This window comes from Homo sapiens, chromosome 2, assembly GCF_000001405.40.
Source record: "Homo sapiens chromosome 2, GRCh38.p14 Primary Assembly".
Taxonomy (NCBI): Eukaryota; Metazoa; Chordata; class Mammalia; order Primates; family Hominidae; genus Homo; species Homo sapiens.
Genome location: NC_000002.12, coordinates 113,123,279 through 113,142,722, shown reverse-complemented (window position 1 = coordinate 113,142,722; position 19,444 = coordinate 113,123,279). Strand labels below are relative to the sequence as shown.

The 19,444-nt window shown below is 47.2% G+C and overlaps 1 protein-coding gene across 10 annotated transcripts in view, besides 2 other annotated features; it reads right to left on the bottom strand.

Moving 5' to 3' along the window:
* Positions 7,107 to 7,256: a silencer, noted in NCBI's record as "silent region_11878". NCBI's record gives its function as "represses an Ori minimal core promoter by ATAC-STARR-seq in GM12878 lymphoblastoid cells {active_cell/tissue: GM12878}" and the evidence as "EXISTENCE:reporter gene assay evidence [ECO:0000049][PMID:35858748]".
* Positions 8,709 to 19,444, bottom strand: part of IL1RN (interleukin 1 receptor antagonist) — a 34,655-nt gene continuing 23,919 nt past the window's right edge. For 8 of the 10 annotated variants that reach the window (XM_047444184.1, XM_047444185.1, XM_011511121.2 and 5 more), the window contains 4 exons: positions 14,983 to 15,034; positions 13,059 to 13,147; positions 11,566 to 11,678; positions 8,709 to 10,067 (listed from right to left, as the gene is read on the bottom strand). In XM_047444184.1, the coding sequence (XP_047300140.1) occupies positions 9,852 to 10,067; positions 11,566 to 11,678; positions 13,059 to 13,147; positions 14,983 to 14,996 (432 nt within the window). In that variant the 5' untranslated portion in view covers positions 14,997 to 15,034 and the 3' untranslated portion in view covers positions 8,709 to 9,851. Of the gene's footprint in view, positions 10,068 to 11,565; positions 11,679 to 13,058; positions 13,148 to 14,982; positions 15,126 to 15,172; positions 15,235 to 19,444 lie in introns of those variants that run through there. The other 2 variants (NM_001379360.1, NM_173842.3) reach the window with 2 other exon arrangements.
* Positions 18,220 to 18,289: an enhancer, noted in NCBI's record as "active region_16412". NCBI's record gives its function as "activates an Ori minimal core promoter by ATAC-STARR-seq in GM12878 lymphoblastoid cells {active_cell/tissue: GM12878}" and the evidence as "EXISTENCE:reporter gene assay evidence [ECO:0000049][PMID:35858748]".

Sequence of the window (19,444 nt, the reverse complement as noted above, 5' to 3'; positions counted from 1 at the left end):
CAGGACATTCAGATGACCCACGGGCTGGAGACATCTGGTGATACTTGGGTTATAACCTTATTCAAGCAGTTTTATAGTGAGCTTTTACCCAGAGCACTTTGCATGTTATTTAATAATGACAATAACTCTGAGAAGTATTATGATCTTGGTTTTCTTTATTTTTTGTTTATTTTAGAGATAAGGTCTTGCTCTGTCACCCAGGCTGGAGTGCAGTGGCACAATCATGGCTCACTGCAGCCAGGCCTCCGGGGCTCAAGTGATCCTCCTGCTTCAGCCTCCACAGCTGGCTAATTTTTTTAACTTTTTTGTAGAGATGGGGGGTCTTGCTCTGTTGGCCAGGCTTGTCTTGAACTCCTGGCCTAAAGCGATCCTTCCACCTCAGCCTCCCAAAGTGCTGGGATTATAGGCATGAGATACTGTGCCCAGCCTTGATTTTCTAAATGAATGAAATGAGCTTCAGGAAGCTTCAGAAGCTGGTTCAAAATCACTTGGCTATTAAATGATGTAGCTGGACCTCATCCCTGAGAGTTATGATTTCAAACTAGAGACTCTTGTCCCTTTCCACTTGCAAATGGCCTATCTGAAAATCAGCTCTGTCTGGAGCTGGCCCCCTTCCCCTCTGCTCCCTGCAGCACAATCTTCTGAATTGAGTTTCTCAGAAGGGGCATGGGGGAGGCATACTTTCGTCAGGAGATTCGCCCTGGTCTGAAAGGGGTACAAGTTCTGTCGAAGAGTTTGATATTAAAGATAACTGTAATTTTAAAGCTCTGCCCTTCTGGAGTGGATGGGCTCTGTGTTTAGCAGAGAACTTTGGTCAGTGTTTGGAGAGCCAAAGGTGAGCCCTGGATGCACTTGAAGTGGCAGGAGGTCAGGAGAAGTGAGATCCTTCACAGAAAATAGCAACAGAAATGTGGGCATTGCGGGCTGGCAGATAGAGAACAATCATAAGCAGCAAGCCAGGCCTGGGGATCCTGCCCTGTCGGGTGGTGAGGCTGGGGCGTGTTGACAGTGCCATCTCATATTCAGTGGCTCTGCTATGATCCTTTAATCACTATTTCGAACATTGTTCATTCTTCCCAGTTAATTCCACCACACCTGCCTCTATGCGGTTTTGTGGCTCTCACAGAGAGAAGGAGGAGCGTGGGGACTTACAGGCTTTCTTCACACACCATGGGTGAACACAGAGACACACAATTTGTACCCTGGGGCCCTGTTATTCTACCTCAGGAGTGGAATTATTATTTTCCTAATTTGCCCCACAATACACAAAAAAAAGACAAAACTGGGAATATAAATTAGCTATGTAAAAATACTACTACTGACAGCTGGTTTCCATTCATGGCTAAGCACTGTAGGGAGTGCTCTGCTGATGGTCTCCTGCACCTGGAGATGAACGATAGTAGGTACTCAATGAATAAGACTGTTGAATTAATAAGCAGGCACTGGTGTGGGTGGAAATGCCCTTATCTTAATGGAGCTTAAAATGTAGTAGGAAAAAAATCTTAAATAAGCACACAAACACATAGCATGGCAGAAGGTAATCTTTTTTTTTTTTTTTTTGGCAGAGTGTCGCTCTTCTTGCCCAGGCCAGATGCAATAGCGCCATCTCGGCTCACCAAAACCTCTGCCTCCCAGGTTCAAGCGATTCTGCCTCAGCCTCCCGAGTAGCTCGGATTACAGGCATGTAACACCACGCCCGGCTAAGTTTGTATTTTTAGTAGAGATGGGGTTTCTCCATGTTGGTCAGGCTGGTCTCGAACTCCCGACCTCAGGCGATCTGCCCGTCTTGGCCTCCCAAAGTGCTGGGACTACAGGCGTGAGCCACCGTGCCCACCCAGCAACCATTTTTAGGAAGAAAAATAAAGCAAAGTACAGAAACAGTAAGCAAAGGAGGTACAGGTGGCTTTCAGGAGGCAAATGCTATTTTAGATAAGGTGGTCAAAAATGACCTCTCTGATAAGGAGCCATGGGTGCAGAGGCCTCAATGCGGAAGAAGAAATAAGTCAGGTGTATCTCTGGGGTACAGTATTCTAAGAGAGAAGAAAAAATGGGAAGTGCATATTAAACTAATATATTTCATAAAGAACTAAAAGTAGAACTACCCTTTGATTCAGCAATCCCACTACTGGGAAAAGAAGTCATTACACGAAAAAGATACTTGCACACGCATGTTCATAGCAGCACAATTTGCAATCACAAAATCGTGGAACCAACCCAAATGCTCATCAATCAATGAGTGGATAAAGAAACTGTGATATATATGATATCTATATATGATATATGATATATATATATATATATTGATAGATATAGCTATAAGGTGGAATACTACTCTGCCATAAAAAGGAATTAATTAACAGCATTTGCAGTGACCTGGATGAGATTGGAGACTATTATTCTAAGTGAAGTAACTCAGGAATGGAAAACCAAACATTGTATGTTCTCACTGATATGTGGGAGCTAAGCTATGAGGATGCAAAGGCATAAGAATGATACAATGGTCTTTGGGGACTTGGGGGGAAGGGTGGGTGGGGGGTGAGAGATAAAAGACTACAAATAGGGTACAGTGTATACGGCTTGGGTGATGGGTCCACCAGGATCTCACAAATCTCCACTAAAGAGCTTACTACATGTAACCAAACACCTCCTGTACCCCATTAACCTATGGAAAAATAAAAAAATAAATAAATTAAATAAATGAATGAATATACTTCAGAATATGTTGGCAGTGAGTTTTCATCAGTTTCCGATAAGCGCCCAGGTGCTCTAGGGAGCACAAACAGCAAAACACTGAATCTTTACTTTAAGGTGCTCAGGGGATGGTTAAAACATACACCTCTGGAAAGACCCCAGAGGCGCCATGCAGATCAGGGGTCTGGGCTACAGGTCCTCATGGAGTCTAGAAGAGGGGGTTATTGAGGGCTGGTATGGACCGTGCTCGATGTCTTCATGGAACAAATTGTCCAAGAGCCTCGCTTTGAGGAGATTTTTGTAGGAACTAGGGGGTGCAGATGGGGAGAGAGAGCACTTAGAAGTAGAGCATGGGGTGGTGAAAGGACAAATTTCAGAGTGTCCAAGGCCTATTTATGCTTTAGGACAGACTAGAATCCTTACCATTGCCTACTAGGTTAGCAAGATCTAGCCCCAGCCTAGCTCCCTGTGCTCCAACCACAGGCCTGAGTTGAAAGAAAACTAAACTCCTGTGACTTATAATAAATACTGCCAAGGAGGGAAGGCGAAGATGTCAGTGTGACTCCATTGTGGCCTAAGGAAGATGTGTCTTGACTCTACACACAGACATACTGATCTCTTGGCAGGAAGCCCCTTGGAGTGGAGGTGGAGCGCTCAGGTGGGGCAGCTTGAGGTCCCTGGTCACTAAGATCTTTCCTCTGCTCTGACTCCAAGCAAATCAAGTTTCCTGAGTCATCTGACTGTGTCAACTGTCCCTGGGAAAGAATGCAGGCATAGCTGGCCCCTGAACAGATCCATTCCCCACTGTAGTGAGTGCCTGGGTATTTTATCTATCTCTTTTACGAGTTCTGTCCACTACCCACCAACACACAAAAGTACGCATTTCCCTTGTAGGCACGCCGTTGGGATTCCTGTGCTGAGTTCCAACATGTGGGTGTGTTCCCCCGGCCGAGGAGGGAAGTGTTAATTCCACACACCAGTCAATCATACAGGTAAAAGGTCTGCAACAGATAACAGGATGACAGGAAGTGGACTTTAAAGCAGGCACAGAAGACTTAGAATTTCTCGGGTGTCACCCCTTGGAGACTAGACATTGGCAATAGGCAACATTTGGATACTTGTCAGGAGTCAGGCCCCACCTCAGCTTGATTGATAGGTGAATGAAAATAAATTTTTCCTTAGAGTGAAACACCTAGAGAGTCTTGAAAAACCAGACCTTCACTAATTTGAGAGCATGAACCAAACTGATTATTTGCCTTGTCAAGATTCTTTCCAGGCCGGGTGTGGTGGCTCACACGGTAATGCTAGAACTTTGGGAGGCTGAGGCGGGCGGATTGCTTGAGTCTGGGAGTTGGACACCAGCCTGGGCAAAATGGTGAAACCCCGTTTCTATTTAAAAAAAAAAAAACAAAAACACTTTCCAGAGCAGTCAGGTGTGTACAAAATGCTGACCCCTGGTGGATATTTCCTGAACTACTCTTTTAGCTCCACATGAAGGAGACCCAGAGGCAAGACGTCAAAGCTAATCTTCCCTGTTTTTAAGCTTTCTCAGGTTTAAAGCTAAGAACCCAATAGATGAGTTTCATTGTCTCCAGAAACTTTTATGGAGAGAACTGGGCTGAATATCAAGCATGTTGAGATTTGCTGTTGTGGCTAGGGATTTCATAGTTATGTGAAGAGAAAACAAAAACTTATTTGGTTTCCCCAAGATTTGCAAGAATTTTACCCCAATTTGACACCCCCTGTTGAAGGCCAATTTATGTTCCCCCCAGAATGAAGCTTGAAATGTGTTTTAGCCAGCCTGTGATTGAGAAAATAGAAAATCTTCTACCTTCAACCCAAATTAACATGTAGTCAAAATGTACTGCTGATGCGGTAAGTGGCCTTTCTTTGAAGTTAAAGACCATCTCCCTCCATTGTATTGACAGACACTACCAGGGCCAGGTGGGAGAGCTGGGAGGACTTGACCTCAGGGTCCCTGACTTAGGAGCTATGTGGTCCACAGGGCCTCAGCCCTGGCATCATGATGTCCTTGTCCCACACCCAGATCAAGTGAATCAGAACCTCTGGATGGAGGAGGTAGGCCACTTTTGGTAAAAAGCTCCTGCAGGTCAGCCTGATGAAGACACATATCTAGTTCAATTCCCTCCTTTTATGAAAACTGAGGCCTAGGGAGGAGAGGTTGCTTGGCCAAGGGCCCCCCAGGGAGTCTGTAGGAAAACTCTGACTCACCAATGAAAGACCTGAATTCAGCCTTGAATTTTCAAACAGTTGTCCTTGATTCTGTAGTGTTGTAGTAGATCAGGCCCAGAAGTGACGGAAGAAGCCACAATCCTCTTGAGGCTTGCTTGTCTTCCCTCTCTGTGCTTTTCTCTCCCATCTCAGCCCCTCCACCTCCCAGTCACCTGTGCACCGCCTCCCAGTTGAACAAAAGCCTCACTTAAGCATGAACCCCAGGCCTGGCTTTCCTAATCCATGGCCCCTGCCTTGTGCTATATAAAGTGCTGGCCCCTTGATTATTAATTTCCTCACCGCAGGCTGAGACCAGACCTGGAATACCCCACCAAGCCAAACTCAAATGTTTGCACATCCACTTGCTTTAAACATAGCCCCAATAAGCCTATGGTAATCCATTTAGAACCTGCCTGCTCTGTATACTCCATGAAACTGTATCCAATATCTGCTGGCCAAGGATAAGCCCCAAGCCATAAAGGCCTCAAGCCACTGCAGCCCATAGGAGCTCTCTGACCCAGAGATTCCCTGCTGTGCTGCTGGGTGACTTCACCTGGCCATGTAAGCCCCCTTTCCAATTCTCTTCTTTCCTAGGAGTCCTCTTGCCCTCCTTCCCCTCTGAGTAGGACCCCATCTCCACACTATAGCCTCCTTGACCAATTCCTGCTATAAAGGACCTTCCCCAGTGTAAACCTGTTAAAGCATCAACCCGAAAGCCTATGTGTGCTACCGCCACCTCGTGGTCATATCTTTTTTCTTAACCTCCAAATATCTGAAAAATCCTTCACTCTGGGCCTTTTCCCTCTTCTAAGCTTCCTTCAAAATATTCCTGATCCAAGTCCCCAGTCTTCTCAAATTTGCTGACCTGTCGAATAAATTAATCCATATTGATATATCAGTGGCCAATTCATTTATTCACTGGCCAGATATTCACTTAGCACCCAGTATATCGCAAGCAATGGCCTTGGCACTTGAGATACACTGTAGAACAAAACAGACAAAAATATCTGCATGGGTTGAGCTGACATTCTAGCAGCACGATGATGATTTAAAGTTTTTCCTCTTAGGAATATTTTATGGAACACTTTAAACCAAAGTAAGGAAGTGTTTTGTTTTTTTGTTTGTTTGAGACAGGGTCTCACTATCACCCAGGCTGGGATGCAGTGGCATGATCTCAGCTCACCGCAACTGTCACCTTCCAGGTTTGAGTGATTCTCATGCCTCAGCCTCCCAAGTAGCTGGGATTACAGGCATGTACCACCATGCCTGGCTAATTTTTTGGCATTTTCAGTAGAGACAGGGTTTTGCCATGTTGGTCAGGCTGGTCTTGAACTCCTGGCCTCAAGTGCTCTGCCCACCTCAGCCTCCCAAAGTGCTGGGATTACAGGCGTGAACCACCATGCCCAGCTAAAGTGTTAAGAGGGGAGTTTTTGGTGTCATCAATGGGCTAGTGTGATAGAGAGTAAGGAGATGGGCTAGGTTTATAAGTAGGAGAATCCCTTTATGCTAGTGCGTATGCCAAAACTTATGCATTGTGCGATTTATGCTTTTTATTTTATCTTATTTCTTTCTTTATTTTGAGACAGAGTTTTGCTCTTGTTGCCCAGGTTGGAGTGCAATGGTGTGATCTCGGCTCACTGCAACCTCCACCTCCCAGGTTCAAGTGATTCTCCTGCCTCAGCCTCCTGAGTAGCTAGGATTACAGGTATGCGCCACCATGCCCAGCTAATTTTATATTTTTAATAGAGATGAGGTTTCACCATGTTGGTCAGGCTGATCTCGAACTCCTGACCTCATGTGATCCACCTGCCTCGGCCTCCCAAAGTGCTGAGATTACAAGCATGAACTACTGCACCCGGCTAATGCATTTTAAAACAGTGCTTCTCAAATTTAATGTGCATGGGAGATCTGGTTAAGATGATGACCCTAAGTCAGTAAGTCAAGCCTGAGATCTGAGAATCTGCATTTTAACTCCAGAAGTATGCTGATGTTGCTGATGCATGAACCACACTTGGAGCAATAAGGCTCTAAAGCAGATTCCTTTGAGCACTGACTCTTCTAGGACTAATAATAATAATAAGAATATGCCACTCACCACAGAAGGCTATTGCAAAGATTAAGTAACTTTGCAATAACTCAGCATTGCCTATTATTTGCATTTAGTGGTGGGAAAACCAAGGCTCTGAGGTGTTAACTAGCTTGCTTATGAGCACCCAGTGCAAGCAGGAGAGTCAGAGTGTGACTGCAGAGTCCCAGAGTTCACCCATGTGACTGTTTTGCTGCCTTGCCTGTTTCTAACCTGTAGCTTGCTGCTTGACCTAGTTTGCATGAAGAGTCTTAGCCTTGGGTTTTACCTTAGAGCCTCACAAATGTTAGCTGCTATTGTTGTCATTAAGCTTTGATGAGTTTTCTGCCTTGAACCTCCTCCTTTTACCAGGATTAAAAATATATCAACGACACATGCCCTGCCCTGCCAGCTACTTCCATTTTATATACAAGAAAGAGAAAACTCAGAGATGTTGGATGACCTCCTCAACGTCATAGGATCTTAGATCTAGAGAAGACCTTAAACATTTTCTCCAGTTTGTTGCCTTTTAGCCTATTTAGTTTAGTTTGCTTTTAGCAATGAAGTCTCCCTTTCAAACAAAGTCCCATGGGAGGTCCAAGTTGTAAAGAAGAGAAAAACAGAGGGCTCTGTTGGGAACAGGGTTCAAGGGATGAATCCTGGCCCATTTATCCTCCCCTCTGCAGGGTTTCCCATTTCCAGAGACCTTAGAGGGAAGGGTCCAAGGAGCTCTGTTTGGAAAATCCCCATCCAAATCAACATTCCCCTCAAACAAATGAGGAACAGTCCCCACAAAGGGAGGTGACTTGGCCAAAATCAGACAGCAAGTGCATGACCTCACTGGGGCCTGCCTCTTGGACTCCAGAGACCAAGCCCAGAATCTAACAGAAACAACCTGGGCAGGTGAAAGGACCACACTCCTCACTCTCCTGACTGTTTACTGAGGTGTGTTTGATAAGTGGTCACTCATGGTCTTGCACTCCCACCTATGGGGACAAATTCAATACTCCATTCACTAATCTCATAATTTCCCAGATGCTCCTTTCTTTACACCCTGGTTGTTGGGGGGCAAGTCTTTTTATTTTCTAGGTATTGTGAAATAAAATATACATACAGAAAACCGCCTAACTGCATCCATGCCAAGAAATAGAATGTTGTCTGGACCCTAAAATCCCCCAGGTGCTCCTGCCTGCCACTCTCTCTCGCAGGGGCCAAGTGTCACTGGGCCTTCAGACAGAGCATGGCCTTGCTTCTCTCTGCACCACCTGTTTCCACAGCCCTCCACACAACAGCCCCATGTTGCCCGTTTTGAACTTTGTAGAAATGGAATCACACTCTATGCATGCTTTTGTGATTCTTGTACCCACATGATGTTTGTAAGATTATCTGTCTTGTGAGGTGCAGCTGGCTGTAATTCATTCATTTTCTTTGCCAAGGAGCACTGTGTTGTGTGCAGATACATGATGTACTAATTCATTCTGTGATGGGTGCTTGGGTTGTTTCCAGCAGAGGCTGTTGTGGACAGTGCTGCCCCATATCTTTTTTGCAGAGAGATTTGCTCTCATGTTATCCAGGGAGAGTGAGGCTGAAGGAAGAAAAGAACTCTCAGAGAAGAGGCCAGGCGCCAGCCTCTGGGGTAAGAAAGACACATTGGTCTTTCAGTTTCCTCAGCACTCTATACCCAAAGCCTGTCAAGGCCAAGGACATAGTCAACAATATAGGCATTTTCAAGATTTTATTGTAAAACAGAGCTGAAGTCACAGGAAGTAGGGAACTTTGCACCCAACATATACAGCATTCATTCGCTGAGTACCTGCCAAGAGCGAGGCTAGGTGCTTGGCCCTGCAGGGACCTGAGACATATACGAGTCATGTTTCCTGCTCTGCAGAGCTCCCAGCCCGGTGGGGGAGACAGGCAGAGGCACAGCCATCTTTCATACAAGTCTCCAAGTGCCAGAAGCTCTACAATGTCAAGGAGCAATTTATTCCTTCAGCAGAGGAAGAAAGAACCCCCAGGAGCCACATTTGCTCAGAGCCTTGGGAGCTGAGAAACTTCTGATAGGAGGTAAAGTACTGCAGGCAGCTGTAAAAAATCTGGAGTGGAGATGGAGCTTGGAGGCTGGGCAGCAGTGCCTGGACAGAGGAGTCCAGATTATGGAAGTGTTTTAAAAGGAAAAAAAAAATTATGGGGCTAACATAGTACCATAACTTTTAATTTTTACAAGTTGGGACATCACAAAAAAAGAAGAAAAAGAAGGGAAAAGCTACCACTTACTTTCACCATCATTTCACAAATGCAGGAATATTTTAAGTCCTCAGCCTCTCCCCGAAAGAACATAATCTCCAAATGAAGGGCTCTCCTTCACGGGGACTGAAAAAAAAAAATCATGAAATCCTAATTTTCATTTTCCACAAACCCTTAAAAACCTCCCTCATGGACTGGTCTTTTCTTTTTTGTAAAACAGGGTGTGGGAGCCACTTGGTTGGGGGTCATCAAGTGGCCTGATGGATCCAGGGCATGGGAAGGTGGAATGAGGGAGGAAGAGGCAGTGGCAAGAGGAGAGCAGGTTGGGCAGGTGGTCGGGGTTTGATCCTGAATGCAGAGGCGACATGGAAGGGCTTTGTGCAGGGGCTGCTGTGCTCTGATTCACACATTAGAAAGACCATTCTGGAGGCAGCATGGAGGCTGGTCAGTTGAAGAGGAGGCAGAGTCCTGTGACCAGGTTGTTGTGACGCCTTCTGAGGGTCCACCCCTCAATGGCTGGTCCTCAGTGCCCCCATAGCCGGGAGCCCTGGGGCAGGGGGACTGGCAGTCCCTGCAGTCCTTGCCATGCAAGAATGGGAACAGGCAGGCCTGGGCAGTACTACTCGTCCTCCTGGAAGTAGAATTTGGTGACCATGACGCCTTCGTCAGGCATATTGGTGAGGCTGACGGGCTGGTCAGCTTCCATCGCTGTGCAGAGGAACCAACCGGGGCAGGCGGCAGACTCAAAACTGGTGGTGGGGCCACTGTCTGAGCGGATGAAGGCGAAGCGCTTGTCCTGCTTTCTGTTCTCGCTCAGGTCAGTGATGTTAACTGCCTGGAAATCAAAAGATGGGCAGGTGAGAGCTGAGGCCTAGGAAGTCCTGTGCTGCCTCCCTCTCCACTCCACGCCATGAAATGGCCCTCTGGACAGCCCAGAGTTAGTACAGGGGAAATGCCATACCCTAAAAGCCCCCAGGTGCTCCTGTCTGCCATTCTGTGGGACTCTGGGACCTAGGTTTATTTATTTATTAATTAATTTTCCCGAGACGGAGTCTTGCTCTGTCGCCTAGGCTGGAGTGCAGTGGCACAATCTCGGCTCACTGCAACCTCCACCTCCTGGGTTCAAGCGATTCTCCTGCCTCAGCCTCCTGAGTAGCTGGGATTACAGGCATGCACCACCACACCTGTCTAATGTTTTCTATTTTTAATAGAGACAGGGTTTCACCATGTTGGCCAGGCTGGTCTCAAACTCCTGACCTCGTGATCTGCCCACCTTGGCTTCTCAAAGTGCTGGGATTACAGGCGTGAGCCACTGCGCCTGGCCTGGCCCAGGTTTCTTAGGACAGCAAAGACACAAAGAGGCTGTCCCACTGTCACACCTTGACTTTGGGAAATCTGGCCACTCTGGCCTTGGACCACTAAGTCTGGTAAATACACGGCACCATCAGCAGAAGCCAAGGCCTGTGGAGCTGGTGTTCTGTCAGGGTTTGAGCTCTGAGAAGATGGGGTGGTGGTGTGTTCCATGCAATGTCCTAGCCATCCCCACTCCTCACAGAACAGGCAGTCACCCTCCAGAACAGTGTCCCTGGTGAGGGATGGGACAGTGCCACAGTATGGCCACTCACATTGAGGTTAAGCTTGCATCCAGCAAGCCCCTGAGACAAAGCCATGTTTTCCCAGGGCTGGGAAACCCATTAACATTACATGAGATAAAGGAGCACAGGGCTCTGGGTGGAGCACCAACTAATCAATTTGAGTCAATAAGGATTGGAAGAGAAAGGTCCTGAGGATGGGCTTTGCTAGAAGACAGCAGGTCTGCGTGGGTAGGGGGGCCCTTGAGCAAGGGAGTAGCACACAGAGATTCAGGTCCTGTGGTAGATGGTTACAGTGGTGGCCCCCAGTGACCGTGTCTCCTGGTGTTCACACTCTTATGCAGTCTCCTCTCACAGGGGGCTAGACTTAGCCACGTGACTGGCTTTGGCCAATAGGATGATGCAAGCAGAAGTCATAATAAGCGCCTGCATGTTGAGGCTCTTTTTGGAATAATCCCTTTTGGAAGTCAGCCGCCATGCTGTAAGGAAGCTCCAACTAACTCTTAAACACTGAGAGATCACATGGAAAGAGAGCCTGGAGGATGAGGGACCACCTTGGATGCCCAGCGCAAGCCAGGCACTCTGCTGAATGCAGCTTCCAAAGTGACCCCAGCATGTTCCACCACATGGAACAGAACTACCCAGCTAATCCTGGTCAACCCACAGAATCATAAGAAAAAATTTTGGTTGTTTCAAGCCACTGGGTTTTGGGGTGATTTGAGATCCAAAGCATGTTTTTACCTCCAGCTGGAGTCTGGTCTCATCACCAGACTTGACACAGGACAGGCACATCTTCCCTCCATGGATTCCCAAGAACAGAGCATGAGGCTCAATGGGTACCACATCTATCTTTTCTGGGGAAGAACAGAGGGGAGGGTCAGGTTAATAGAAGAGGAAGCAGCAATAATGAAGAGACCCCGGGTATTTTTCTATCTCCCCTGGTCCCCACAAAACTAAAATCCCGAGGTCAGAAGGGCAGAGAGGTCTCATCTTCCTGGTCTGCAGGTAAATAGAAGATTAAACCAAGCACACTACCCAGTTACTCCTAGAGGCCTGAGTCTCCTGGATGTTGTTCCATGTGATGTCCATATTTCCCTCACTTTCCCCAGGATGCACACTACCCAGTTACTCCTAGAGGCCTGAGTCTCCTGGATGTTGTTCCATGTGATGTCCATATTTCCCTCACTTTCCCCAGGATGCACACTACCCAGTTACTCCTAGAGGCCTGAGTCTCCTGGATGTTGTTCCATGTGATGTCCATATTTCCCTCACTTTCCCCAGGATGCACACTACCCAGTTACTCCTAGAGGCCTGAGTCTCCTGGATGTTGTTCCATGTGATGTCCATATTTCCCTCACTTTCCCCAGGATACCTGTGCTCCAGGTCAATAGGAGTGTTGCTGAGGGGCAGGGAAAATGAACAAGGCCATGAGTGGGGCTCCACAGGAGCCTAGGAGTCTCTGAACCTCCTCTCTCCCTAAGAGGCCTCCATGCTCTCATGTAGCAACAAAAATCTCAGCTTCCTCGTGCTTCAGTGTGTTCATTAGGAGAACTACCAGGACAGGAATTGTAGGTCTCATCCACTTTCAGAGCGAGGCACAGGAGACAGAACCAGGGCATAGGGAAGGTGGGAAGGTGGAGGTAATACCATCCTACAACAACAAACAGGGGAGTGAAAACATCCTGGAAGGCTGGAACTAAAAGAATCGCACATCCTGTTGTCCAGTTGATATCATCCCACTGAAGGGAAAGCTGAGGAACAGAGTGGGTGAAGCTTCTTCAAGGTCATCCAGCTTGTTTAATGTGTGGACCAGAATATGGCTGAGTATGGTGTCCAGGAATAAGAGACATAGCTCAACCTTATACATGGTGGATTAATTTGGGATTGAGTTAGGGTTTGAACAACATAGGAACATGGAGCCTTAATAGGCACTTGAGGAAGGGAATGGTCAACCTTGCCTTCTGGTATTTGCCCTTCCCAGCTGTGGCCCTGGGACCACTGTGCCTATAGGCACTGACCTCTGACCTAGACTCTACCTCTCCACACCCTCTTCAGGCTGCCCTCATATGTGCCCTTCAGTAGCCAGGCCCTCCCAGCTTCAAACTTGAATACAAAGACCCAACAAGGATTAGGACATTGCACCTAGGGTTTGTGCAGGCAGGCCATGCTGCTGCAGACAGACGGGCAAAGTGACGTGATGCCCACATACATTGGCTTTCCTGGCAACCACTCACCTTCTAAATTGACATTTGGTCCTTGCAAGTATCCAGCAACTAGTTGGTTGTTCCTCAGATAGAAGGTCTTCTGGTTAACATCCCAGATTCTGAAAAGGAAAAGGACTCAGCTGTAGTGCACAGCCACCATGTGCCCAGCCTTGTGCTTGGCACCTTCCTGTGTCCCCCAGAACTTGTCAAATTTGCATCCAGCTCTTCCAGGGGTATAGTATTTTAGTATACCCACGGCATGCATGGATGAGAAGACTGAGGCTGACAATGGTTAAGAGGCAGGCCCAACCCTCACAGCTGGTGAGCAGTGAGCCCACATTTGACTCCCCTCCTTACTTGCTTCCCATCTGAGATTCCCAGGGAAGGCACTTCTGTTTCAGCAAAGCATGCTGTAGAGCAGCAACATCCAAAAGAACTTTCTGGGATGCAAAAATGTTCTGTAGCTGCACTGCCCAATAGGGTGGCCACTAACCACATGTGGCTATTGACCTCTTTAAATGTGGATAGTGTGACCAAGGGTCTGGATTTTAAATTTTCTTCTATTTTCATTCATTTAAGTATAAATTTAAATAGCCACCTGAGACTAGTGGCTACCATAGCACCTAGGTAGAAGTTTCAAGAGACGGAACACCTTGCAGCTAACTCGCTCTGAGTCTGAGACCAGAAGGGTCTTTCCCTAGAGCCTTTCCTCCATTAGCTGGTGACCTGCTCAGAGTCCTGCAGGAGCAGCTACCCTTGGGAACAACCCGGCTTCCTCTCTACCTCAGCCAGTGACCTGATTCTGGGTCCCAATCCTTTCTTCTTGGTAAAGGGCCTCTCTGGTTGAGAGCAGGACTCAAAGCTGTGAGACGTAATAAACAGAGCTCTGGCCAGCCTGACCTGGGACCTGTGCCTCACCTCTTCACCTGTGAAGTGTGGCTAACTGTACCCACCTCATCAGGTGGCTCTGAAGAGCCCACATGCTCGACGAGGGGTGGCCAGGCAAACCAAAGTGCTTTGCATATGGCAGCATTGGCCTGTTTGTGATTATCCTAGTTTCTAGATTTAGCCTCAGTCTGGAGGGATAAACATCACCTGCTGGGGCCTCCAGGAGGATCTCCTGGAGCTTCTAGCTGATCAGAGCAGGGAGAGGCAACCTAGGGAAGCAGACAGTCCCCATATCTGGAAGGGAGAGACTTGTCACTCATACACCCACAGAGCCCGACTTGCAGCCTCGGCCCAGACAAACATAAAGGTCAGAGTGGGGGAGAAGTCACCCCAACATGATTTCACTGCTGGAATGTCACACTGCAGAGGGCATGCACAAGCAGTCCTGTCATTTCTATCAGCATCACATCTTTACAATAGTGATGGTCTCACAAAGCCGATTCCATTTTCAAATCATAATGGTTTTCAGGCTCTTTACAATGCACGGAATACTGTTACGCTATTATCTGTGCATTTAATTTTCACAACAACCCTGTAAGGCACACAAGGAGTTATCGTGACTCTCATGTCACAGATGTCACAGACGGGGAAACCAAGGTCCCTGGAGAGTGGGACCCTCCGACATGTCAGCACAGACAGGCCTTGCCCATATCAGTCTGGGCCTTCGGGCTGTGCCCCTGGTGCCCCTCTCTGCTTCTCTGTCAGCACATTCAACTAGGCCTGAATCGCAGTCCCACTCCTTGGCATGCATCTATTACTCACTGGGTTCCTGAGTCTCTGGGAAAGTAAGACAGCCCTCCGGTCGCACTATCCACATCTGGGATATTTTGAAACACAAGTCCTGAAGCCCATGCATGTAACAGCCTCTTTCTTGAATAATGGACATCCTCTCCAGCCCAAACCCAGTTCTCAGGCCCTCTGGGGCCTGGCAGCCCCTGGCAGCTGTGATATGTTTCCAGTCTCCAGCTGATCCACCCTCACCTTCTCCTCCTTGGGGTAGCCTTACCTGAAGGCTTGCATCTTGCTGGATTTTCTCCCAGAGGGTCGGCAGATCGTCTCTGAATGGAACAGGAAGAGGAGGAGAGTGATTAGGTGACTGCGGAGGCCTCTGCAGATTTCCATTCTGTGACTGCAGCAAGGCAGTGGACTGCCATTGCGGGCCCAGAGTTGTGGTTTATAAAGAAATAGTCACTCACCCAAGCTAGGCGTCTGCCACCCTGCCCCACTGCGAGAAGCGGAAATACCCTCCTCGCATTTCCAAAAAGAGAAACCCTTGCTGTTGTCACTTTCAACCCCACTAAGTGTCGCAATGGAGTGTTGTAACTGATTCCCTCCCCTTTTTCCCCTGTGCAATTTCCCCAAAATTAAGATTTCTATTTCCCCTTCATTGAGTTCCTGGGAAGAAGAGCACAATGGAAACCAAACTCCCTACTGTTCCTGACAGGTACCCAGAGTCTGTTTGTTGACTTTTTAAAAAACAGATTTGAGCAGAAAGGCCGTTTTTTCATAATAAAATGATAGGGCTCCCTGCACATGGGACAGTCTCATGTCACTTTGTGTTCTTTGAAAAATGGACAGCCTTGGACTCCGGACCATAGATTGGCAAACATTCTGTAAAGGACGAGATAGTAAATATTTTAGGTTTTGTGCGCCACGATTACTCAGCTCAGCTGTCTGTTTCACAAAAGGACGTTGGCAATCCATAAATCAATAAGCCTAGCTGTGTTCCACTACAACTTTCTTTGCAAAAGCGGGGAATGGACCGGATTTGGCCTGAGTCTGCTGACCCCTGATGTAAAGTGAGTCCTTCTGAGAGGTGCTTTGAAATCAACTCTTTTCCCACTATCTTACATCTTTAAAGTTATGGTCTCGGGACGATGACATAAACTCAGCATTTGGACAGGAATGGGTCTAAATTCAACCTCTGCCACTTGCCTTGTGCCACCCGTGTGACCTTGAACAAATCATTTCATTAGTTGAGCCTCTGTCTCTTCACTCTCAGAATGAGGGTGATCATGTCTTCTTCACAAATGGATGGAAGGAAGGAAGGGAAAGAGGGAGGGAGGGAGGGAGGAAGCAGGTGTAGGAAGGAAGAGGAGAACTTCTGGCCCATAATGGGCTCTGATACACATTAACTTCCTTACTTACAATATTCTAGACCCGGGGCCTGGAACATTAGGAAAAAGGTAAGCATGCTCCTATTTTATGGGTAGGAAAAAGTTGAAGAGAATTTCTGCATGATCTACAGGATGGACAGTGCTGGTGCAGAAGCATACGTTGCAGTGTTTTAGAGCTGGACGGGAGCTTGGCAATCATCCTGTCCCAACCTGGCATTGTTTTCAAGAAGACTCAGAAAGATTTAGACAAAAAAGGGATCTGTCCAAGGTCACACAGCTTGCTGATGGCAAAAGTATGCAGAGAAATCCAGGTCTTCTGACCTCCAGCCCCGGGCTTTATTAACAAATGCTTCAGAAACTTTAAACCCTAATATTCATCACACTCTGGGAAGAGGCAAATAAGTAGGCAGGTTAATATACATCACCCCCTTCAGCTAGTCCTCACAAAAACAAACAAATAAACAAAAAAAATGTCTCCTTGGCCCTCAAAGGAAGACACTATTTCTCAAACGTGTTTCAAAAATGATGGCTGGGCTGGGCACGGTGGCTCACACCTGTAATCCCAGCACTTGGGGAGGCTGAGGTGGGCGGATCACCTGAGGTCAGGAGTTCAAGACCAACCTGACCAACATGGTGAAACTCCGTCTCTACTGAAAATGCAAAAATTAGCAGGGATGGTGGCATGTGCCTGTAATCCCAGCTACTCGGGAGGCTGAGGCAGGAGGATCACTTGAACCCAGGAGATGGAGGTCGCAGTGAGCCAAGATCACGCCACCGCACTCCAGCCTAGGCAACAGAGTAAGACTCCATCTCCAAAACAAAAACAAACAAAAAAGTATGAATGACTCACTCAAGGTGATGCAGCTTGTGAGGGCAGCACAGGAATACAGACAAAATGTCAAAATATTTACTACTACAGCAGTTGATCTTGATGAGTCTATTTTCAACCAACAAATCAGAATCTTTCTCTCAACCAACACATCTTCCAACCAACAAATCAGAATCAAACACTTTGTGTCCAGAGAGTTAATCCTTCAAAGGAGGAAGACTATGAATGAATTTCCCAAAGGTTTAAAGAATGTATCCTTCAGAGGAAATAGAACATTTCTGCAAAATTGTGTCACCTCCCTGGGTGATGGATTTTTTCAGGCAAAATGGCATGTCTGTATTCCTGTACTGTCCTCATAAACAGTGTGACCTTGAGTGAGTCACCCATCCTTTTTGAAACACGTTCAAGAAACAGTGTCTTCCTATGAGGGCCAAAGAAGAATTTTGTTTATTCATTTGTTTGTTTTTGTGAGGACTAGCTGAAGGAGATGATGTATATGAACCTGTCTACTTATTTGCCTCTTCCAGAGTGTGTTGAATATTAGCGTTTAAAATTTCCAAAGTATTTGCTAATAATCAAGTGTATCACTTTATTCTCACACTCTCTGAAAGAGAAGGCAGCTAGCACCTGACTATGATAGGTTCTCTCCTATTTGTCTTTCTTCAACCCTCCGGAATTGGAAGACCATAATTCTCTCAACAATGTCCTTACAGATTGCAGAAGAGAAGTGGCTTGCCAAGGTAGGGTGGAGAGTTCCATCCTGGCCACTGCCTTCAGACAGCGTTTCAAGTAAAAAGCCCCACCCACACTGCGGCTCCTGGGTAAATGTTTCTCTGACCCCAGTCTGAATTCAGAGAGTATTCTCCTGGAGAAAAGACGCTCGGGGCTCCTGGAACCTCCCTGCTCTGTGTCATTTCCCCGCTGTGTCCTGAGAAGTGGCCCAGTCTGTCCTTTGTCGACATGCACAGGGTGAGGGTGGGGGTGGTCCCTGGGGCAGGAGTTATGGAGTCTAGGTCTGAATCCCCCTGTGTCATTACCCCACACAATGTGCAGAGCCTGTCTTGGTCTCAGTTTCATTATCTGATAGAGCTAATAATAGAAGCCACATCATCGGTTACTATAAGGATTGAATGAAATGCTGCACGTGATGAATCATGCCCTGACCCTGGCACTTGGGAAATACTCACACCGTGGCTTTTGCATATGCTTCTTTACCCCAGGTAAAGTGGGAGAGATCAGGCACAATGAATGCCCCAGCCCCTTGCTCCTGCCCTGCACTCCCAGCCTTCCTGCTCTGTATCCTGACCCACCCTCCTTTCCCAGTCCAGTCTCAAGCCTGCTCTGACTCCAAAGGGGGGGGGCTGTCAATCACTGTGGCTTAGGGAGAGGAAGAAAGGGGACAAGGGAAGCTCTCTCCCTCTTCCTCACGCTTCTGGCCACAAGTCCACTCTTGGTTTCGTCTTATCTCACCCAAACAGTTGGCGTCCTTATGATTTCTGCCCACAGGAAATCTCTGACTAATCTTATTCTCGGTTCTGGGTCCTCAGCACCCCCCGAGTTCTGCTTCCTGGATGAAGCTTTAAGACCATAGCACATAAAAGACAATGCCTTCCCAATCAGCACCCATGGCTTTCATCGGAGGTCCTGGTCATCAAATTGTATCTAGTGGCTTCCATGTGCTGAGCCCTGTGCTACTAGACACTAGAGACAACAGGAGTGTCTAAGCCCCACGTAAAGGGGTTTTGATGAAGCAGAGAGATAGGGAAACCAGGCTGTCCATGTCTTAGGAGGGACACTGCACTGCTGTAAGGGGACACATCTTATGTTGATGCCTGTAAAGTGTTTAGCACAGCTGTCCACATGGGAAGTGTTCAATAGATGTTGGCTATTTCTCAACATCGGTTAATTGCATCTTTCAGTTCTAGGATTTCCATTTGGTTCCTTTTTTGTACAGTTGTTAGTTCTCTGCCAAAAATTCCAATCTTATGTTTTAAATCTGAGTATATTCTCCACAGTTCTTTCGAAGGCTGCCCCTGATTCAAATCCATGATTCAAATCCCTGCTGGATCTCAATTTATTGCCTATTTCTCCCTGATACACAGGTCATCTTGCATGTGCCTAAATCCTTTTTACTGACTGCTGAATACTATATATTAAGCACAGTAGAGGTCATTCAAGGCTCTGGATGATTGTTATCTGTACCCTGAGATGGTTCACTTTTGCTCCTGCTGCACAGGTAGGCCAGGAGCCTTTCAAAAGCAGGTAACCTCTACCCTAGCAGGACTTGAGATCATTCAGAGGAGGGCTTCAGTACCTGTGAAGGCTGACCCAGATTTCCAAATTGGGTGGGGATTATCAGGGACCCTCCCTGTAGGCAGGATTTAAGGTACAAATTTCATCTCCCCCACCAAGTTCCATGAATGCTCAAAAACTCAGCTGAAGTTTTTGAAACCAGCACATGTCCCCAGGAGTAAAGGGCACCAGTGCTGGGCTCCACCTCTCTGGGCTCAGGCAGTTCCTTA